Genomic DNA, 23,545 nt, shown 5'->3' with positions numbered 1-23,545 from the left:
CAGGTTGCAGTGAGCCGAGATCAAGCCACTGTACTCCAGCCTGGGCGACAGAGTGAGACTTCGTCTCCAAAAAAAAAAAAAAGAAAAGAAGCGGAACATTATCACTAGTAGAAATTAAATTAGTTATCAGATTTAACCTCTTTATTTTAATGAAGAATTGTATAAAACTAAAGATAAAATATTTGTTCTGAGATTTAGTTGGACCATGTAAGTTGAACACCAGATCCCTAATAGTCTATAAGCCAAAACATAGTAAAACTTTTTAAAATTATATTTTTATTATAGAATATGTATTTCAGTGGATTATTTAGCAAATTCATACCTTGTAGATAATCTGTGAAATAGAAAGTTTCACAATTATATAATCTTTTTTAAAAACTGCTATTCAAATTTAAAATTTTTAATTTTGCAATGGACCTTGGAGCACAATAAACAAAAATCTAAAGAAGACGGCTGGGCGTGTTGGCTCACACCTGTAATCACAGCACTTTGGGAGGTCAAGGCAGGTGGATCACTAGGTCAAGAGATGGAGACCATCCTGGCCAACATGGTGAAACCCTGTCTCTACTAAAAATACAAAAATTAGCTTGGCATGGTGGCGCGTGCCTGTAGTCCCAGCTACTCAGGAGGCTGATGCAGGAGAATCGCTTGAACCCGGGGGCAGAGGTTTCAGTGAGCCGAGATTTCACCACCGCACTCCAGCCTGGCGACAGAGCAAGACTCCATTTCAAGAAAAAAAAGGAAGTCAGCTGTCTTCTTCACTTGCCCATGTTTGTGCAGTTTACTATTGGCAACATCAAGAAACTTAAACAAAACTTGACATTTGCTTCTATGATTTCTATATGTTTAAAGCTTCTGGTCACAAAGTTGAAAATGTATAATGTAACAATAAAGAAAAATTTTAATGTCTGAAATTTAACGAATATGTTTTAGAGAGCATTTAAAAGTATATAAATCATAGCTACTGCAAGATTTAACATTCAAATGTCTTACTGAAAAACTAGGAAGACAAGCTGGGTACGGTGGCTGACGCCTGCAATCCCAGTACTTTGGGAGGCTGAGGTGGGCGGATCACTTGAGGTCAGGAGTTCCCGACCAGCCTAGCCAACATGGTGAAACTCCTTCTCTACTGAAAATACAAAAGTTAGCTGGTGTGGTGGCACTGTCTTGTAATCTCAGCTACTCAGAAGGCCGAGGTAGGAGAATCGCTTGAACCCAGGAGGCAGAGGTTGCACTGAGCCAAGATTGCACCACTGTACTCCAGCCTGGGCCACAGAGCAGGACTCTGTCTCAAAACAGACAAACAAACAAACAAAAAACTAGTAAGACATCTGATGCTAAAATATATTGTTCTAATTATTGTCTATTAGACAATTCTAATAGCAGTTTTTTAAGAATAAAAAAACTAGTAAGACTTGATGCTACAATATATTGTTGCATATTGTGCTACTATGAACAGTTTTTTATATTGAAGCTGTTTCCTAATGCCTTACAGATTTGTTTTTGTGAGAGTTTTTGTGGTTTTTTTTTTTCCTGGATAAAATAAAGACAAATCTCTTACCTTAAACTCAAGATGTAGAAAAAGTGATCATTTCAAGTTACATGAAATATTTGTCATACTCCTAATGATGCATGTATTTGCTTCTTCTAGCTGAGAGTGAGGGAACATCCTGTTTATGGACCATATGTTGAAGCACTGTCAATGTAAGTATTTGGCTCAGCAAGGGCAAAGAGGATAAAACAAATGAATAGAGTGAATGTTACTCTCCCATAATCTTTATTGTATTCTCATTGGCCTTCCTAACTTTGAAACCCTGGGTAACTATTTATTTAGCCTTCTACCCTTGATATTGTCCAATTAGGTTTTCCCTCTCTTTCCATAGAGTGTTAGTTACTTGTTTTAATACTTGCATGTGTCTTTCATAGTACCTGTAAAGTGTCTGCCATGGAGTATTCATTATACTATGAAGTAAATATTTGCTTTTTCTTTCTTTTACCCCTTCCTTTCACTATTAATTTAATCTTCCCTCTCAACCTGCTTTTTATACCTATGACTCTAAGCTAGACAGGGAAGAGGGTACTAAGAAGAGTTAAGAGTTTGATGCATGCTAGGAGTCATTTACTTTTTTTTCCAACACTGCAAATGCTTTCTTAAAGGAAAGGAAAAGTTATTAAGTATTAACTCAGCTGCATTTAATACATCTGGGATTGTATTGGGACCCATATACACCCACATATAAATATACCTATGCATATACATATGTGTTAAAGTATATCTTTTGGTATTGTGACTTAGACTTGAATATTAAGATGCTAAGGTGCTTCATTGTATTAAGAAAAATCATACTTTTTGTTAAAATTAAAGCATTATTTTATTTCCTGTCCTTCAAGAATGGGGAAAATAAAAGATTCTGGGAGAATCAATAAAATAATATTCATGAATTAGTCCATTGTGATCTTCAGCGTAAATATGTAATTGAAATGTTATTGTTTTATGAGAACAAGAGTATAATCATCAGTAAAATTGATTTTGTCTTTTCACTTCTTAAAAATAGGAACATTGTCAGTTCTTACGCTGATATCCAGGTAAGATTGATTTTGTTTTCTTTTCACTAGATAGAAAGAGCATAATCCTAAATATTTATAAGAATATTTTTTCTTAATTGCTGTTTTACAAATAAAAGGTTAGTTTCCTTAATTTATCACAAACCGATTTTGTTAAGTTTTAATCAAAATAATTGCTCTTCTTTATTAAAAATGTTGACCTTCATGTAAGCTTAGAGTTATGGAAACAGCCTTTTAAAGTTATTATTTCCTGCCTCAGATTTCTATGACAGAAAAAAAGGCAATGGGAATACAAATTATTAAAAGATAAATATTTACTCATTTCATTTTATAAATTAATTACAAATGTGTATATGTTATCTCTCTTAATTTTTATATCATTGAGTTACAGTCTGCTGATCTGAATTACAAATGTGTATATGTTGTCTCTCTTAATTTTTATATCATTGAGTTACAGTCTGCTGATCTGATCTTCCTTCCTTTTTTCTTATAAGAGTTGGCTAGAATTGGGAAATAAACAAAGAGCTACTGCTGCTACTGGTATGAATGATAAAAGTTCCCGATCTCATTCAGTTTTCACCCTGGTGATGACCCAGACCAAGGTATTTTTTTTAAAAGTTCCCGATCTCTTTCAGTTTTCACCCTGGTGATAACCCAGACCAAGGTATTTTTTTAAAAAGTTCCCGATCTCATTCAGTTTTCACCCTGGTGATCACCCAGACCAAGGTATTTTTTTTCCACAGGCAAGATAGTAAATACATTTAAGTTTCATGTTTTTCTTATTGTCTTCTTTAAATCAAAAGGTAAAAGTACAGTCATATAAATATATAAACTTAATTTGATTGTAGGAAATATGCCTTAGTTTCAATGACTTTTGGTCAATGACCAAATGACTTATGGCAGTATACCGTTTACCAGATTTTTAAATCAATAATAGATGCTTGTTATCATGATAACATTGATATGATCATATCAATATATGATAGTATATTTTCATATATAGTAATTATGCAGAGTATTTAGAAAAACATCAGAAAGTAAAAGATTTTTTAAAATTTAGCCATAGGTTCCACCATTCAGATAAACCCCTCTAAACATTTTGGTATATAGTCTTTCAATTTTTTTACCATCACAATTAAATTCACTTAAAATCACACTGTTAAAATCTGTAACAATTTTATGTTATTAAAATTTTTATAAAATAATTTTTAATAGCTATATAATATTCCATTAACTATTACAGTTCCTCAAGTTTTTCTCTACTGTTGGACATTTATATTATTTTTAAATGTTTTGCTATTATAATGCTGGGATAAGCAACATCTTTGTGCATTAAACTTTTTCTTTATTTATTGTTATTTCCTTAATATAACTGAGTGGTTATGGATTTTAATCTCTTTGAAGTAATTTATTTAATTTTGGCATAATCTATCCACTGCTCAATATATTCTTTTCAGTAGACCGTGTGAATATTTTTGTGTTATAAATTATCACAGATTCATGAAGGGATGATCTTAGGCCAGGTGCAGTGGCTCACGCCTGTAATCCCAGCACTTTAGGAGGCCGAGGCAGGAGGATCACTTGAGCTCAGGAGTTTGAGACTAGTCTGAGCAACATAGCGAGACCTTGTCTGTACTAAAAAATAAAAAAAAGTAGCAGGTGTAGCAGCATGTGCTTGTAGTCCCAGCTACTTGGGAGCCTGAGGTGGGACAATTGCTTGAACGCAGGAGATCAAGGCTGCAGTGAGCCGTGATGATGCCACTGTACTCCAGCCTGGGCAACAGAGTGAGACCCTGTCTCAAAAAAAAAGAAGAGACTATTTAAAAAATAAAAGAGTGATGTGTAATCTTTTACAGCTTTCCCTTTAAAAAAACCTATATTGATTGGAAGTAATAGAACTTAATTTAATTTAATATCATTTTGCTGTAGACAGAATTTGTGGAAGGGGAAGAACACGATCACAGAATAACAAGTCGAATTAACCTAATAGATCTGGCAGGCAGTGAGCGCTGCTCTACGGCTCACACTAATGGAGATCGACTAAAGGTAAATGGAATGCTTTTTCTCCTTTTGATGAAATTTATTCCTGAGGTCATTATTTTAAGGAGAATACAAACTGAATACACTTAACCTCCCCAAATATATCTTTATCTGCAGTTTATAGACTGCATTGCTGTGGTTGAAAAAGAGATACGTACTTTTTGGTTATGATTAATTTTTAAAGAAAATACGTTTGAGTCATAAGAAAGTTGGTAGTTTATAGAAAAAAGTATTTATAGACAGGCATTGTGGCATGTGTCTGTAGTCCCAGCTACTTGGTTCAGGTGGGAGGATTGCTTGAGCCTGGATGGTCGAGGCTACAGTGAGCCATGTTTATGCCACTGCACTCCAGCCTGGGCAACAGAGTGAGACTCTGTCTCAAAAAAAAAGAAAGTAAAAAAGTATTTACTCAGTAATTATATGAGGGGAGAAATATATTTTGTGAAATAAATTTCTTGCTGAGAAGTATTTTAAGTTAAAAATTTTTTTTTTCTTGCATGCAGGAAGGTGTGAGTATTAATAAGTCCTTGCTAACTTTGGGAAAAGTTATATCTGCACTTTCGGAACAAGCAAACCAAAGGAGTGTTTTTATTCCTTATCGTGAATCTGTTCTTACATGGCAAGTATCTTTTGAAGTATAAAGAATTGTATAAAATATAGTGAATACTATGGGGAAAAGAATGATAGACTGACTTCATTAACTTTGGGATGGAGAAAGGTGGTAAGCATTATGAATTCTAGAGCCAAACTACCTGGATTTGAATCTCAGCTCAGCATCTTATAAGCTCTGTGACTTTGGGCAAATTACTTAATATTCTAGCCCGTTTCCTCATCTGTAAAATAGGAATAAAATCAATACCTTTTAGGGGTAAGTGAGAATTAGATTATTAGTGTACAATTCTTAATACATAATATGTACTATATGAGTGTAAATAACTGTTCTTGTACTTAACTATTATTTGTGGCTGATGTTTGAACATATATGGTACTACCAAACATATTGCTAGTTGTATAAAGAGAAGTTGAATAATTTTGTTTGCTTACTACACAGTGACTAATACATGGGTGCTCAATAAATGTTTTCATTAGTGAATGTATATTTAATTTTCAATATGTTACATTCAGATTACATCTGTATGGATTTAATATTCAGTTGTGATAGGCATTAATATACAGTTACAATAAGGACTGCATCTTTACTTGAGGGTAATGTGTCTTTATAATTGGTTTATTACAATGTGATTGCCACCTTGAAACCTATAAGGGAAAATCTGATTTTTTTCATGTCTTATGAAAGTTAAAAATAGTGACATTCATTCTGCACTAATATATGTTTTAAGTCTCATACTCTTTTTCTCTAAAATAAAGATTTTGCTTTTAGTACAATATAGAATTTTTGTTTCAATGTTCATCATTTTCAACATTTATTGAGCACCTGCTTCAAAAGGTTGTGGTAGCACTGGAAATACAAAGATGACCAAGACACATAGTCCCTTCCCTATGGTAGCTCACAGTCATGAAATACTTGATGATCCACCACATTTTAGAATCTCTGCACAGATTATTGCCTCTTGAAACAATATAAAAAGTGTAAGAGAGAAAAAGTGTTTATGAGATCTAGAAATAGTTACAAATACCAGAAAAGTTTTAAATGGTATTTGAGTAGAGTATAATAATACTGTATTATATACCCTATTAGTTTGTTTTGTGCTTTCTAGATAATTACTGTTATTAAGTTGTTGTAGAAGCAAAGTCTTATGACTTTTTTTCTTGTAGGCTGTTAAAAGAAAGTCTGGGTGGAAATTCAAAAACTGCAATGATTGCTACGATTAGTCCCGCTGCCAGCAACATAGAAGAAACATTAAGCACACTTAGATATGCTAACCAAGCCCGTTTAATAGTCAACATTGCTAAAGTAAATGAAGATATGAACGCTAAGTTAATTAGAGGTGAATATTTTCTCAGAATTTAAAAATTGTTTTGCCACAGTTTAGTCCCAGATATTAGTTGCAGTCTTAAAATATGTAATTTATGAACATCAAAGGTGTTTTTCTATACCTATTTTAATAGATTCTAGTCATCAGCCTATAGTGATGGAGGATGATAGGTAGAAGGACAGATAATAAGTAATAAGGAGAAAAACAATTAGGAAAAGAACATAGAAAACAGAGTGTGAGTAAGGGGGAAACAGTAAGCATTAAACAATAAATTTACACAGTCATAGACGTGTGCAGCAAAATGCCAATAAAACTATTTACTATTTTTCTCTTATGACCTCTCTTCCATTGACGTTTTATGTACTAGCTCTGCTCATGCTTAGTTCATTGATCCAAAGGCAATTGGAGCTCGAGTTTCTAGTATAGGCTGAACTTCATTTATGCTAAATACTGCTTTCTATTTATCTCTAGGTAATCATCAATTTAGGATAGACTTTAATGCCTGCAAGAAATCTTGATTTGTACAGTTTTATCTTTGCTGATGTAGAACTATCATCTTTTCATGCCCCTTTGTCCTCTGGCCCTTTTTAGCAGCAGAAGGTGATAGACACTTCAGATGTATGAGCCAGAGAAGAATCTGATTTGTCTATCCTGGTCCATCCTTTCCCTTTTGGATCCCTTCTGTTTCACAAGTGGGACTGTTTTCATTAAAAATAAGTATTCTGGGCCGGGCATGGTGGCTCATGCCTATAATCCCAGCACTTTGAGAGGCTAACGCAGGCGGACTACTTAAGGTCAGGAGTTCGAGACCAGCCTGGCCAACATGGGGAAACCCTGTCTCTACTAAAAATACAAAAATTAGCCAGACACAGTGGTGGGCACCTGTAATCCTGGCTACTCGGGAAGCTGAGGCAGGAGAATTGCTTGAGCCCAGGAGGCGGAGGTTGCAATGAGCCGAGATCGTACCACTGCACTCTAGACAGTGAGACTCTGTCTAAATAAATAAATAAATAAATATTCTGAATTCCAGCTTGAAAAATCTTTGATCTTGGCTGTTCTGCCTAGTGAATAGCCATTCTTTTATTTCTTTACTTTTTAAATAAACTTTCACTTTAACAATTACCCTTTTGCCTCTCAAAAGTGTTCCACTTTGGTCAGTACATTATACAGCTTTCCTACTTATGAACAGGGAAAGTTCATTAATATGGGAGCATATTTCAGGTTAAGACTAAGTAAAGATTTATAGGTTATATAAAGTAGAGCTGATTTCTCCAATATTCTATTTTATTTAGTAATACTGTATTTAAAACTTCAAATGAAATAGAAGATTGGAGGATTATGCTTACTGTGGAAATTGTTATATATTAAATGTTATTATTAATGCATCTTTGTATAAATCTTCAGAATTGAAGGCAGAAATTGCAAAGCTAAAAGCTGCTCAGAGAAACAGTCGGAATATTGACCCTGAACGATACAGGCTCTGTCGGCAAGAAATAACATCCTTAAGAATGAAACTGCATCAACAGGAGAGAGACATGGCAGAAATGCAAAGGTAGAGTACAGTCAGTACTCTAAATGTTAAGTGTGTTGCTCTGGAATCATAGGAATGGCAGGGACCTCAAGAGGATACTGAGTATTTTTCCGACCTTCCTTATGAATAGAGCAGCCCACTCCCAGATTATCATATTTTAAATATTACTAGGTAGTTGCCTAATTTTCATTGATTGTCTCTTGACTCTCAATCTTATACATCTGGATGTTTTTAACTCTGTTATTTTCTTTGTCTTTGGAAAGAGTGTGGAAAGAAAAGTTTGAACAAGCTGAAAAAAGAAAACTTCAAGAAACAAAAGAGTTACAGGTATTATTTCAACTTTCTAAACTGATTAGAAAATAAAAGAAATATGCCAAGAAATAAATATTGCCAATATGCCAATGCATGTAAATTTAATGTTTCAAATACTTACTATATACTGACTCTGTACAAAGCAATACCGTAAGGAAAATTAATATAAAGAAATGTTAAGATCAAGACTGGTTGCTTAGAGCCAGCCCATAAACTAGTTGGAAAGTTAAAGTATGAATAAACCATCTTGTTATATTTACTTTGGTTCTACAAATATATATTAAATGTCTATGCTTTTCAGGAACAGGGGAAGCCAAGGTGATTAAACACAGTTTCATCCCTCAGAGAGCTTGTGATCCAGAGAGAGATTTACAAAACGTAAATAGAAGACTGAAATGCAATGTGATTTCAGTAGATTGAGCCATAAGCAATTGCCATTTTTGTAGGTAAAGCATGGTTGAACACTGGCAGTTTCATATGGTTGAACCTAATGTAATGAAAAGTATTTCAAGTGATTGGTAGTGGGGGAGTACTATAAGAATTCAGGAGAAGAAGGGAAAATTCCTTGCGCATGGCCAATCCAATCTCATAAAAGAGGTGGCATTTGAGATGGGCTTTGAAGTTTGGGTAAGATTTTAATAGGAAGAGAAAAGGAAGAGCACATTCTTGGAAGAGAAAATTCTCTGAAAGTAAAGGTAGAAAAGTTTGAGTTGTCTTTAGAAAGGGTACGTAGATCAGTTTTACTGGAAGCAGTTTATATGAGATCATAAGGAGATACAATTGGAAAGATATGTTATGATTAGTTTATGAAGGACTTGATTTCCAGGCCAAGGAAATTAAGTTTTATCCTGTAGGAAGTGAGAAGCTGTTAAAAAGTGACCAGGGAATTTACATTTTGAGAGCACCCTTTCGAGAGAATTAACCTGGCATAGGATATAAGATGGATTGAAAACAGAAGCTGTTGACGGTGATCAAGAGGCTGCTTCAGTAGTTTTGGTGTGAGTTGACAGGGGCCTGTGGTGAAGGCAATGAAGATGCAACAAAACAAACTGATCTATTCTAAAGACGGTCAGTCAATAAGAAGACACAATTTGGTGATGATAGATTGATGTATGAGTAGACTGAGGATGGTGAAGGACAAAGAAGGTAGGGAGGTCACAAAGGAGAGATTCTAAGGAAGGAGGAGAGAGTCTAAAAAACCTTTATGGCCGGGCACGGTGGCTCACGCCTGTAATTCCAGCACTTTGGGAGGCTGAGGCGGGTGGATCACCTGAGGTCAGGAGTTCGAGACCAGCCTGATCAACATGACGAAACCCTATCTCTACTAAAAATACAAAAATTAGCCGGGCGTGGTGGCATGCGCCTGTAGTCTCAGCTACTTGGGAGGCTGAAGCAGGAGAATCGTTTGAACCCAGGAGGCAGAGGTTGCAGTGAGCCGAGATCGTGCCACTGCACTCCAGCCTGGGTGACACAGCGAGACTCTGTCTCAAAAAAATAAAAATAAAAAAATAAATAAATAACCTTTAATTTAGTGAGACTTCATATAGAATTGTTTTAATGTTTAATATAGACCATTTGTTTTAGGTGAATTTAACAATTTCATACTGTGATTAAGATTAATTTCTTTTTCTGACTTCTACCAGAAAGCAGGAATTATGTTTCAAATGGACAATCATTTACCAAACCTTGTTAATCTGAATGAAGATCCACAACTATCTGAGATGCTGCTATATATGATAAAAGAAGGAACAACTACAGTTGGAAAGTATAAACCAAACTCAAGCCATGATATTCAGTTATCTGGGGTGCTGATTGCTGATGATCATTGGTATGTTAATCCTCTAAAAAAAAAGAAAAGGCACCTGTTCTATATCTTGATAACATGTGGTTTCCTTCATATGGCATATTCGTTGATACTGATCGTTTGGTAGAATTCTTCAAACCCATTGTTTAGTCAGGAAAAACATACATTCTGAGTGTGTTATAAGGATGATAGGTCAGTTACTCTCAATATAAAGTACAGTGTAATGCTCTCTCTGTTTTTGTTTTGGCATACTTGATCTGTTGATTGAAGAATAATTTATTTTCTTGCAATTATAATGATGCACATGCAAGTAAACTATCTATCTTACATAACAGAATTTTTGGTTGGATTGACCAATTTAAAAATGTTACTTTATGTGAATTTTGTTCATATGAATGGAATACTTGTATATATTGTTGGAATGATAGCGTATGTAAACTTTTTTGACTCTGCATTGTGTTTCCAAGATTTGTGTACATTGGTTCCTGTTTTATTTTCACTGCTATGAAGTATTCCATTGTATGAGTTTATCTCTTATAAAGTTTAGGAAGTGCTTTTAAATTGTATGTCTGAGAGTAGAGATACTAGGTTGTAGAATATGTGCATATTCAACTTTAGTAGCTAATTTCAAATTATTTTCCAAAATGAATTTTTACTCCCATTGGCCTTGAGAATACCTGTTACTCCACATCGTTGCCAATACTTAGTACTGTCAGACTTTATGCCAATCTGATGAACACTAAATAGTATATCATTATGGATTCATTTTACATTTCTTTGATTAATAATAAGGTTGAACATCTTTTCATGTGTTGATTGGCCATTTTTGTTTACTATTGTAACTTGCCTCTTCATATCTTTTGTTGATTTTTCAACTGATTTGCTTATTTCTTAATAATTTGTAGGAGTTGCCAATCTTTCGTGAGCTTTTTGGTATAAATATCTTTTTTTCTAACGTGTAACATCTTTTTACTCTCTCTGGTGCCTTTGATTGATTGAAGTTCTTAATTTTATTGTAGTACCTGGCATCAGTCTTTTCCTTTATGATTGTCAGTTTTTATGTCTTAAAGAAAGAATGTTCTGGCTGGGCGTGGTGGCTTATGCCTGTAATCCTAGCACAGGTGTGTGGGCTCAGGAGTTTGAGTCCAGCCTGGGCAACATGGTGAAACCCTGTCTCTACTAAAAATACAAAAAATTTTCTGGGCGTGGTGGTACCTGCCTGTAATCCCAGCTACTCAGGAGGCTGAGGCATGAGAATCGCTTGAACCTAGGAGGTGGATGTTGCAGTGTGCCGAGATCATCATGCCACTGTACTTCAGCCTGAGTGACAGAGCGAGACTATGTCTCAAAAAAAAAAAAAAAAAAAAAAAAAGAGAGAGAGAGAGATAGAGTGTTCTGGCCAGGTGCGGTGGCTCACGCCTATAATCCTAACAGTTTGGGAGGCTGAGGCGGCAGATTACTTGAGACCAGGAGTTCAACATCAGCCTGGCCAACATGGTGAAACCTCATCTCTACTGAAAATACAAAAATTAGCCCGGCATGGTGGTGGGCACCTATAGTCTCAGCTACTTGGGAGGCTGAGGCATAAGAATCACTTGAACCTGGGAGGTGGAAGCTACAGTGAGCCAAGATGACTCTGCTATACTCCACCCTAGGCAATAGAGTGAGACTCTAACTCAAAAAAAAAAAAAAAAAAAAAGACTGTTGTACATTGAGGTCATAGAGATGTTCTAAATTTTCTTCTAGATGTTTTGAAGTTTTGCTTTCACATTTAAGTTATTGAATGTCTGGAATTTTTTATTTGGTGTGAATTAGGGATCTAAATTCATTTATTTTCCACATGAATAGCCATTTCTCCCAGTACCAAATATTAAATAGTTTATTGCTTCTTTTGGAATCTGTAGTGCTCCTACAAAAAATTTCTAAAAATATCAGAATCTGTTTCTTCCTACTAATACCCCATGGTCGTAATTACTTGAGCTTTGTAATGAATCTTTATTTATTTATTTTTTGATTTCAGAGTTTTGCTCTGTTGCCCAGGCTGGAGTGTAGTGGCACCATCTCAGCTCACTGCAACCTCCTGGAGTCGAGCAATTCTCCTGCTTCAGCCTCCTGAGTAGCTGGGATTGCAGATGTCTGTTACCACGCCTGGCTAATTGTTGTATTTTTAGTAGAGATGGGGTTTCACCATGTTGGCCAGGCTGGTCTCAAACTCCCACCTCAGGTGATCCGCCCACCTTGACCTCCCAAAGTGCTGGGATTACAGGTGTGAGCTACCACGACCGGCCTGTAATGAATCTTTATATCTTTTTTTTTTTTTTTTTTTTTGGAGATGGAGTCTCACTCTATCACCCAGGCTGGAGTGCAGTAGTGTGATCTTGGCTCACCGTAACCTCCACCTTCTGGGTTCAAGCGATTCTCGTGCCTCAGCCTCCTGAGTAGCAGCCACCATGCCCAGCTAGTTTTTTGTATTTTTAGTAGAGACGATTTCATCATGTTGGCCAGGCTCGTCTTGAACTCCTGACCTCAGGTGATCCACCCACCTTGGCCTCCCAAAGTACTGGGATTACAGACGTGAGCCACTGCACCTGGCCATGAATCTTTATATCTGTTAGGGCATATCCTTTTGTTCTTTAGGTTCTTTTGCTCTTTTATTAATTAATTATTTTCTTTAACAAATAAATACAGTATTATTAACATCTGTGGCAAAGATACAGAACATGCTCCCAAAGAGTTAAGAGTCCAGTAAGGAACTTGGAAGCCTCTTGCTTGCCTCTAACTCTCTACTTCCATTTTTCGTACCTTCCTCAGTTTATCTTGTTCACTAGACCATGAACTTTATGAAAGCTGATTTCATGTCTGTCTTCATTGCTGACACATAACTGGCTCTTGGAGGCTTAATGAATAAAAGAACTTCATGGCTGAGGCTGGTCATGTGAAAGAGAAAAAAAGAACTTCAGTATCTATTAATGCATATTAAGTGTTATGAGTACTGCATACTTACTGCTTAGAAGTGAAGAGAAGGAAGAGTTGACTTCTAACTTAAACCCTAAAGAACAGCTTCTTAGAGGACTCTAAATTGGGCCTTCAAGAATGGTTGCAAGAAGGGAGAGGATGTCCTATCTGGAAGGAATGACTCAAGGAAAGGAGGAAAGCTGACATTAAGGCAAATTCAGAGTATTCATATGGTTGATTAAGTGTGAAATGGGGTTCTTATGGGAAAATAGTGGCAGATGAGGGAGGTTGGTGGTTGAAGCCAGATTGTGGGGCGTCCAGAATGGTAGGCCATGGAATTTTGAGAGCAGAGTAGATAGAATTAGGAGAGGAAAGGGATCAGAACAAGTACACATTGTATAAACCTTCACCTGGATAAGACACTAGACTGGTAGGAGGGATGTAGTGCCTAAGGGTGAACTATTGTTTCCATGTACTTTTCTCTAGATGCTTTAATTAAACTATTATTCTCTAATCACAGATCTTGGAGCCTAATCCACAGCTAAAAAGATCTTTGGTTAGGACTCAGCTTTTGTTGCAGTTTTTCTTTCTATCCCGTTAATCCAAAGATGAATTGGACTTTGGAGTTTCTTTCCTATTCTCTGAATAAAAAGACTCAAATATGTAGCACTTATAGCTGATTTTCCACAGTATCACCTTATCATCCAGTAAATTAGATGTCTTAAGGGGTACACTTTGATCTCCATGTTTTTCCTTCCTCTGTAGTACCCTACTTTTCAAAAGGGGAGAAATATTTGTTCTTTCTGTTATTAAAGCTCATATGTAAAACCAGAAGCTTAGAAAATTAAAAAAACACTTAAAACTGTTTTATTCATAAGAAATCACTGGCAGTATGTTAATGTTTTTTGCTAGTTTTTTTTTTTTTTTTTTTTTTTTTGAATTTTTGGGGGAAGGTTTTTGTTTTCAAAGAAGTTATAATAAAAATACACCCAATGAAGAATGTTCCCACCACAGGTGGATCGGATTGCTAGAGGCCAGGCTTTTTTCACCAAACTTCAAAATCTAATTGGAGGCTCGATGCAGTGGCTCATGCCTGTAATCCCAGCATTTTGGGAGGCCGAGGCAGGTGGATCACTTGAGGTCAGGAATTAGAGACCAGCCTGGCGAACATGGCAAAACCCCATCTCTACTAAAATGCAAACATTAGCTGGGCAGGGCATGGTGGTGGGTGCCTGTAATCCTAGCTACTCAGGCAGCTGAGGCAGGAGAATTGCTTGAACCCAGGAGGTGGAGCTTGCAGTGAGCTGAGATTGTATCACTACACTCCAGCCTGGGCGACAGAGCAAGACTCCGTCTCAAAAAAAAAAAAAAAAAAAAACTAGTTGGAGGAAAATAAAATAATTTTAAATTATTGTTACATATTGGTATGAATCTTAACACCAAAGGAATAGCCCAAGCAGAATTATCCCATATTGCCTTTTTCTTACTTTTTAGTGTGTTCTATAATTGTTAACTATGTGCTTCTTATTTTAACAGTACTATCAAAAATTTTGGTGGGACAGTGAGTATTATCCCAGTTGGGGAAGCAAAGACATATGTAAATGGAAAACATATTTTGGAAATCACAGTATTACGTCATGTAAGTGGATGGGTGCTATAATATAAGAAACTGTTCGACTTTGGATAAGTCATTTAATTTCTTTGAGTTCTGGTTTTCTCTATAAGATAAGGGTGTTGAAGCAGATTAAGGACTTTTTCATTTCAAAAATTCTTTTTCCTATTAATTGCTTTCTTGTGCAAAGACAAAAGTTACATTTATATGAATCAGTACCTGAAGAGCTGACCACTAATAGCATCATTATGTGTCCTATAAAGAGCTAGGCTTTAGAATCAGACAGACAGGGTTGAAATCCTGGCTTTGCCATTTGCTCTGTGACGTCTGGCAAGTTATTTAACTAGATGATTAAACAATGTCACCCAAGTCAGGACACTTTTGAGATCATTATTAATAATTACATCAAGAGAACAAACATCAGCAGTGTGTTACAGGCAAACCCAGACCTATTGTGACTCTATATATCCTGCCTTTCAGAGATAGTGAAGGATTAACTGAAATAATAATTTGTGTATATAGTTCTTAGAATAGTATCTGCAAATAGTAAGCTCTCAATGAATGTCTCTTGTTATTATTAAGCTTTGTGCTGTTTAGTTTCCTCATTCCTAAAATTGGGATGATTATATGTATCTCACTGAGTTGTTGTGAATCGTAAATGAGATAACATAAAGTCTTGCACTTCATAATGATGTTTTGGGCAATGAGGGACCACATATGTAACAGTGGTCCCATAAGATTATAATACTGTATTTTTACTGTATTTTTTTCTGTTTAGATATACAATTATTTACCATTGTGTTATAGTTGCCTATGGTATTCAGTACAGTAACATGCTGTACAGGTTTGTAACCTAGGAGCAATAGGCTATGCCATATAGCCTAAGTGTGTAGTAGGCTATACCATCCAGGTTTGTGTAAGTACATTCCATGATATTCACACAACTATGAAATCACCTAACAGTGTACTTCTCAGAACATATCCCTGTTGTTAAGAGACATATGACTATATGTGTAATGTGCTTAATGCAGTGTTTGGTATATACAAAGTAATAAACGTTGGGAGGCCAAGGTGGGTGGATCATGAGGTCAGGAGTTCGAGACCAGCCTAGCCAACATGGTGAAACCCCATCTCTACTAAAAATGCAAAAATTAGCTGGGTGTGGTGGCACACGCCTGTAATCCCAGCAGCTCGGGAGGCTGAGGCAGGAGAATTGCTTGAACCCGTGAGGCCGAGGTTGCAGTGAGCTGAGATTGTGCCATTGCACTCCAGCCTGGGTGACATAGTGAGACTCTGTGCCAAAAGAAAAAAAAAGTAATAAATGTTAGTTGCTATGATGTTTATGTTTATCATTAATACTAGACTATATTGAATTGTTGGGCAAAATAAATTTTCTCATTTAATTTTTTGGTTGAGACTCACCTCAAGTAGTACATTTTTTTGTGTGCTTTAGGGTGATCGAGTGATTCTTGGTGGAGATCATTATTTTAGATTTAATCATCCAGTAGAAGTCCAGAAAGGAAAAAGGCCATCTGGAAGAGATACTCCTATAAGTGAGGGTCCAAAAGACTTTGAATTTGCAAAAAATGAGTTGCTCATGGCACAGAGATCACAGTAAGTATGCTGTTGATATGAAATAGTAAGTGTATGAGAGAGATCTACAACAGAGTTAATCACATTGTGCCAGTCTCTAGTAATTAACTCTTTGGGTGCTGGTTTCTAGTGATATAATTTTTTCTCTTAGTACATTCATTAGTTCACCAAATATATATTGACCATCTATTATGTGTCTGTCACTGTACCAAATGCTGGAGATATAAAGAATAAGGATTGAAATTTAGCTCATGTGCTGAAAGAATTCATCATCTCGAGGGGCTGACAGTTATAACAGTGCTATGACACAGTTCTCTGACAAGAGTCCCGAACTGTGTGGTGTGGAAGCTCACGGGGTGACACCTGGCCCTGACCGGTTATCAGGGAAGGTTTCTAGAAGATGAGAAGACGTCCCATAGAGGAGAATCCCAATAGACGATTAGAATTTAGCCAGAGGAAGACTGGGAGAGTGTACTTTTGTTTTTCTTTTCTTCTTGTGCCCCAGTTTTAGTTCATGCAGTATCGTAGGATTTCTGGCATAAGTAGTATCCTTGTAAGCTAAATGGTAAAGTATATACAAATAAAATGCTAAAGAGTTTGGACTTTATCTTAAAGGATAAGGGAAACATTAAAGAATTTTGAGCAGACGTGAGACACTCATAATCAGAATTACATTTTTAGAGAGATCACTGGCACTCAAATCTGGAGAATGCATTAGAGATAGAGCAAGCTTAAAACCTGCAAATGCAGCTAAGAGACTATTGAAGTAAGGTAAATATAGTGTGATTAGGTAGGAAGGAAACATAAAGGAGATAAGATTGACAAGGCCTGGTGACTAAAGAGGATGAAAGGAGGAGGAATCAAGAACTGGTTATAGGCTAGACTAACTGCTTTGTCACCTTTTAAGAAGCCTCAACCTGCTTTTGCCCTTTAAAAAGAATTTTTTTAATTGAATACAATATAAATAGCACAAAATTTACCATGTTAGCCATTTTTAATTGTATAGTCCAAAGGCATTAAGTACCTTCACATTGTTTTGTGGTTTTTTTTTTGTTTGTTTTTTGGTTTTTTTTTGAGATGGAGTCTGGCTCTGTCGTCTAGGCTGGAGTACAGTTGGCATGATCTGGGTTCATTGCAACTTCCACCTCCTGGCCTCAAGCCATCCTCCCACCTTAGCCTCCCGAGCATGTGAGACTATAGGCGCACACCACCACGCCTGGCTAATTTTTGAATTTTTTTGTAGAGATGGGGTTTCACCATGTTGCCCAGGCTGGTCTCGAACTCCTGAGCTCAAGCAGTCCACCTGCCTTGGCCTCCCAAAGTGCTGGGATTACAGGCGTGAGTCACTGTGCCCACCCTAGTGCCTTCACGTTGTTGTGCAACCATCACCATCATCCATCTCCAGAAATGTTTTATTATTCCAAACTGAAACTCTGTATTTGTTAAACAATAGCCATTCTCCTCTCTCCCTAGCTGTGATATCCACTAACCTTCTTTTTTATACTCTTATTCTTTTTTTCAGTAAAATTGGGAATGGAAATTTCTGTATAATGTAGTTACTAAAGCACTGATTTTATTTAAATGTCAGGCATCTGCAATAGTAACTAAGTTAGAAATAAGCAATTTTTCGTCCTGCGTGTTTAAATTTTGAGTGTAAACAATTGTAGAGCCAGTGAAAATTTTAAAAACACTGTTGATAGAATGTCAGAAATCAAGTTTTAAGATTGAAACTTTCATTCAATGGAAAACTTTTCAGTAGGATTAAGAACTATTATGATGTATAAAGAATTCTTAACATGTACCCTATAAACATCTTGCTACATTGTAGACTTGAAGCAGAAATAAAAGAGGCTCAGTTGAAGGCAAAGGAAGAAATGATGCAAGGAATCCAGATTGCAAAAGAAATGGCTCAGCAAGAGCTTTCTTCTCAAAAAGCTGCATATGAAAGCAAAATAAAAGCACTGGAAGCAGAACTGGTAAAAGGCAGAATTAGTTTTATTTTTTTTTTCCGACAGTGTACCCCAAGTGATGTGTTGCCTATAAAGTTGATTATGTCCCTATAAGGGAACTGGGAGAGATCAGAGATTAGTGAATCAAAGCCACAGTGAGTCTTGGCCCTCTTTAATTTTACTTTAAGAAATAAGTCAGGGCTGAGCATGGTGGCTCATGCCCGTAATCCCAGCTCTTTAGGAGGCCAAGGCGGGCAGATTACTTGAGCCCAGGAGTTCAAGACCAGCCAGGGGCAATGTAGGGAAACCGGTCTCTCCAAAAAGTTTAAAACATTAGCTGGGTGTGGTAGCATGCGCCTGTAGTCCCAGCTACTCAGAAGGCTGAGCTAGGAGGATCATCTAGCCCAGGGAGGTCAAGGCTGCAGTGAACCTTGACAGAGTGAGACTCTGTCTCAAAAAAAAAAAAAAAAAAAAAAAAAAGAAAAAAGTTGGTGGCGATAATAGACAATGGCTACTGGAATAAAAATAAAGAGAAACTTCTGTCCTCTAGCCGCTTGAGTCATGGCTGTCTCCATGGTTTATTGGAAATCTTGGGTTCCCAGAAGCCCATTTTAGATAATACTCTTAAGTATTTTTAGTTAACCTGAATGAAGTGGAGAAGCTTTAATAGGGCAACTTTTCTATTAGTGAGTAATTTCTTGTACATTGGTTAAAGAAAGGGACTTTTGTACTTTTTTGCTACGGTTTTTGCCTGAGATATTTTTTATTATTGTTCTTTAAAGAGAGAAGAGTCTCAAAGGAAAAAAATGCAGGAAATAAATAACCAGAAGGCTAATCACAAAATTGAGGAATTAGAAAAGGCAAAGCAGCATCTTGAACAGGAAATATATGTCAACAAAAAGCGATTAGAAATGGAAACATTGGCTACAAAACAGGTAATTTTATTGTGTAACCAGTTAACTCTATTCTGAGAAAAAGCTGGATTTTTTTTTTCAAAGAAGTGGCTTATGGTATGTTGACAGAAGAGAGCCAAATCCAGGTTTGTAGATGTGTAGATGAGAAAAGTACTTCTTGCCTGAAAGCTTATATCCTGGTACTGCTCACAGATCACACAGAGATTTTGAAAGTGACAGAGTTATTTCCATCTAGTTCCACTCCAGTGTTCTCTTTTTATGCATCTACAACTATCTGGTCATCAGTCATGCCAAGTAATTTAAATAAGTGAAATAGCACTAGGTCACATATGAGGAAGGAAAAAAGGCACAGCTCTTACACTGGGTCACATCCTGATGTCACAATGAAACATCTGCCTGTGGAGAGAGCAGCAAGCATCCTGTTTCCAGAACTCACAGTAGGGCATTCATTACCTCAGTCTTATGAGCTCAGGCACCTGCCTGCTTTTATCATGTCATTGAGGATAGAGGCATCTTTCATGGGCCACCTCAACTAATCAATTTCACAAGCCTAAGGGATAAAACCAGAATGTTAATACCTTCAAGCACCTTACTGTCAGTATTTTGGGCCATTCTTTCTATTAGCGGTTCTTGAAGGGTGGTCCCTAGACCAGCAACATCAACATCACCTTGGGAACATGTTAGAAATGCAAATATTTAGGCCGGGCATGGTGGCTTACACCTGTAATCCCAGGACTTTGGGAGGCTGAGGCGGGTGGATTACGACGTTAAGAGATCGATGCCATCCTGGCCAACATAGTGAAACCCTGTCTCTACTAAAAATACAAAAATTAGCTGGGCATGGTGGCACACACCTGTAGTCCCAGCTACTCAGGAGGCTGAGGTAGGAGAATCTCTTGAACCCGAGAGTCAGAGGTTGCAGTGAGCTGAGATTATGCCACTGCACTCCAGCCTGGTGACAGAGCAAGACTCTGTCAAAAAAAAAAAAACAAAACAAACAAACAAACAAAAAGCAAATTTTTAGGCCGCACTCCAGAACTACTGAAGCAGAAACTGAGAATGGGGCACAGAACCTATTTTAAGAAGCCCTGTGGGATGTTCTGATGAACACTAAAGTTTGCAAGCCACTGTTTTGATTCCTTATATCTTAATCTTAAGGTTTTACTCTCTCAAATGGCAATTTTATTTCTCTTTTTTCCAAGTTTGTGGGGTCAGGGAAACCAGGGTGGGAGTTGGGGGTGGAATAAAATACTCCTAGTAATTGCAAAGTATTGGTACCATAATACAGTTATTATACATCTACTAGTCAACTCCTGGACACAAAGTGGCTAGTGAACCACCTCAGAGAGTTTTAGGAGAAAAACATAGAACTGTTTAAATCTTGAAAAACAATTATGATTGTTACCATTTTTGGTTTTGTTTTATTTTGAGACGGAGTTTCATTCTTGTTGCCCAGGCTGGAGTGCAGTGGCGTGATCTGGGCTCACTGCAACCTCCGCCTTCCAGAGATTCTGCTGCCTCAGCCTCCCGAGTAGCTGGGATTACAGGTGTCTGCCACTACGCCCGGCTAATTTTTTTTGTATTTTTAGTAGAGACGGGGTTTCACCATGTTGGCCAAGCTGGTCTTGAACTCTTGACCTCATGATTCTCCCGCCTTGGCCTCCCAAAGTGCTGGGATTATAGGCATGAGCCACCGCACCCGGCCCCAAAACAATTATTATTATTGGGCTTATAATGCTTATTTGTACTAAACTAGATTTCTTGTATCTTTTAAATTTAACTTCTTTATTTAGTCAACAAGTGTTCTTGGATATGGCCTTTTTTTTTTTAACAGTTTGTCCTTTTTTCTTCTTTTTTTTCTGCCTTTTTGGGGTTTTCTTATTTTTAATTTATTTTTATTTCAATAGCTTTAGAAGTACAAATTGCTTTTGGTTTCGTGGATGAATTATATAGTGGTGAAGTCTAGGATTTAGTGCACCTGTCACCTGAGTAGCTTACATTGTACCCAATAGGTAGTTTTTCATTTCTTGCCCTCTCCCACTCTCCCTGAGTCTTCAATGTCCATTGTACCAGGAGTGCACACAGTTCACAATTTAGGTTGCACGCTCCTTATGAGAATCTAATATCTGATGATCTGAGGTGGAACCGTTTCATCCTGAAACCAACCCCTGAGCCCCTGTCCGTGGAAAAATTGTCTTCCACGAAACCAGTCCCTGGTGCCAAAAGGTTGGGGACCGCTGCATTATACCACTCTATATGCTTTTGCATACCCATAGCTTAGCTGTCACTTATAAGTGAGACCATGCTGATATTTGGTTTTCAATTCCTGAGTTACTTCACTTAGAATTATTGCCTCCAGTTCCATTCAAGTTGCTGCAAAAGATATTTTCTTTTTTATTGCTGGGTAGTATTTCATGGTGTATATATATATATATATATATATATATGTATGTATATATATATACACCATATTTTCTTTATCCATTCATTGGTTGATGGACACTTAGGTTGATTCCATATCTTTGCAATTGTGAATTGTGCTGTGATAAGCATACACATGCAGGAGTCTTTTTGATACAATGACTTCTTTTCCTCTTTTTTTCTAGTTTTTTTTTTAACTTCTATCAATGGGAAGAAAAAAGATTAATTTATGTCATCAAAAATTCCTAATAATATTGTTGTGGGGAAAAATTATTTTGTAAGGAAATTTTATAAATCATTTTTAAAAGCTTTTCATGTTTAATACAGCACATAAAACATGTTAACTATATAGGCTTAATAAAACGTACTGTAAAATGAGGTTTACTGTAGTGTGTTATCATTATCAATCTGTTTTTTTAAAATAGGTTTTATTGTGTATATTTAAGTTATACAATGTTATGGGGTATATAAATTGTAAAATGGTTACTGTAGTGAAGCAAATTAACATATCCATCATCTCAATGTGGTGTTATAGTTTCTCTCTTTGCATATTCTCACATGTGGGTCTGTATGAATGAATATCAATTAGGCTTTAGAAGACCATAGCATCCGCCATGCAAGAATTCTGGAAGCTTTAGAAACTGAAAAGCAAAAAATTGCTAAAGAAGTACAAATTCTACAGCAGAATCGGAATAATAGGGATAAAACTTTTACAGGTAAGTGTGTGCTGATTTTAGCAAACATTTTCTAAAATTATGCATGTTATATGTAATATAATTACTAAAATATTAGCATTAGTTGCCTTTACATATTCAAAATACTTTATTCTAGTTGTTGACTTTTCTGGATCTAAATAAATTTGTATGAATGGTTGTTTTTGAATATTCAGCTTTTAGAATATTTATTATATCAATGCTTTAGACTGAATGTTTGTGTTCCCCCAAAATTAATATATTGAATTCATAACCTCCAAGGCAGCAGTGTTAGGAAGTGGAGGTCTTTGGCAGGTGAGTAAGTCATGAGGGTAGAGCCCTCATAGATAGAATTAGTGCCCCTGTGAAAGAAATTGCAGAGAGTCCCCTCACCTCTTCCACCAAGTGAGGACATAGCATGAAGATGGTAGTCTGCAACCCAGAACAGGGCCCTCACCAGAACCTGACCGACGCTGGAACCCTGATCTCAGAGTTCCAGCCTCCTGAACTGTGAGCAATAAATTGCTGTTGTTTATAAGCCACCCAGTCTGGCAATTTGTTAATAGTACTGCAACTGAGCAAATAGTAAGCCAAATTTCAATGTGCAGCATGTTTTTAAAAAATATATCTTATTCTAATTCTTAATCTTTGTTTTATATCTGTTAATAGTTGTGCTTAGTCATGGATTACGTTGTTTTCTTTTTCACTTAGACATTTTTTTCTTAAGAGATTTTTTTTCTAGCTTTACTGAGATGTAATTAACAAATAAAAATTATGTATATTTAAGATGTACAACATGATGTTTTTACATATATTGCAAAATGATTACCATAATCAAGCTAGTTAACATATTTATCACCTCACCTAGTTCTTTTTTTTTTTTTTGTCATGAGGACACTTAGGATATACTCTCTTATTTCAAGTATACAATACAGTATTATTAATTATAGGCAACTTTCTGTTCATTAGACCTCCAGAGTGTATTCATCCTGCATAACTGAAACTTTGTACCCTTTGACCAACATCTTCCCATTCCCCTATCCTGTATTTCCTGGTAACCATCATTCTACTCTCTGTGCCTATGAGTTTAACATTTTTAGATTCCACATATAAGTGAGATCATATAGTATTTATCTTTCTATGTCTGGCTTATTTCACTTTTGGTGGTGTTATTAGAGTTTTCTATATATAAGATCATGTCGTCTATAAACTAACAATTT

The 23,545-nt window shown here is 36.4% G+C and overlaps 1 protein-coding gene across 15 annotated transcripts in view; it reads left to right on the top strand.

Moving 5' to 3' along the window:
• Positions 1-23,545, top strand: part of KIF14 (kinesin family member 14) — a 69,255-nt gene that overhangs the window by 12,302 nt on the left and 33,408 nt on the right. For all 15 annotated transcript variants that reach the window (XM_047436198.1, XM_047436190.1, XM_011510232.3 and 12 more), the window contains 14 exons: positions 1,652-1,704; positions 2,556-2,586; positions 3,060-3,167; positions 4,495-4,611; positions 5,109-5,224; positions 6,382-6,554; positions 7,947-8,094; positions 8,337-8,400; positions 10,029-10,213; positions 14,681-14,783; positions 16,210-16,370; positions 18,178-18,325; positions 19,081-19,233; positions 22,223-22,349. In XM_047436198.1, coding sequence (XP_047292154.1) covers positions 1,652-1,704; positions 2,556-2,586; positions 3,060-3,167; positions 4,495-4,611; positions 5,109-5,224; positions 6,382-6,554; positions 7,947-8,094; positions 8,337-8,400; positions 10,029-10,213; positions 14,681-14,783; positions 16,210-16,370; positions 18,178-18,325; positions 19,081-19,233; positions 22,223-22,349 — 1,687 coding nt within the window. The remainder of the gene's footprint in view (positions 1-1,651; positions 1,705-2,555; positions 2,587-3,059; positions 3,168-4,494; positions 4,612-5,108; positions 5,225-6,381; positions 6,555-7,946; positions 8,095-8,336; positions 8,401-10,028; positions 10,214-14,680; positions 14,784-16,209; positions 16,371-18,177; positions 18,326-19,080; positions 19,234-22,222; positions 22,350-23,545) is intronic.

This window comes from Homo sapiens, chromosome 1 (assembly GCF_000001405.40).
Source record: "Homo sapiens chromosome 1, GRCh38.p14 Primary Assembly".
In the NCBI taxonomy this organism is placed as follows: Eukaryota; Metazoa; Chordata; class Mammalia; order Primates; family Hominidae; genus Homo; species Homo sapiens.
The sequence above is the reverse complement of the archived record's forward strand: the minus strand, read 5'-3'. Positions and strand labels throughout refer to the sequence as shown.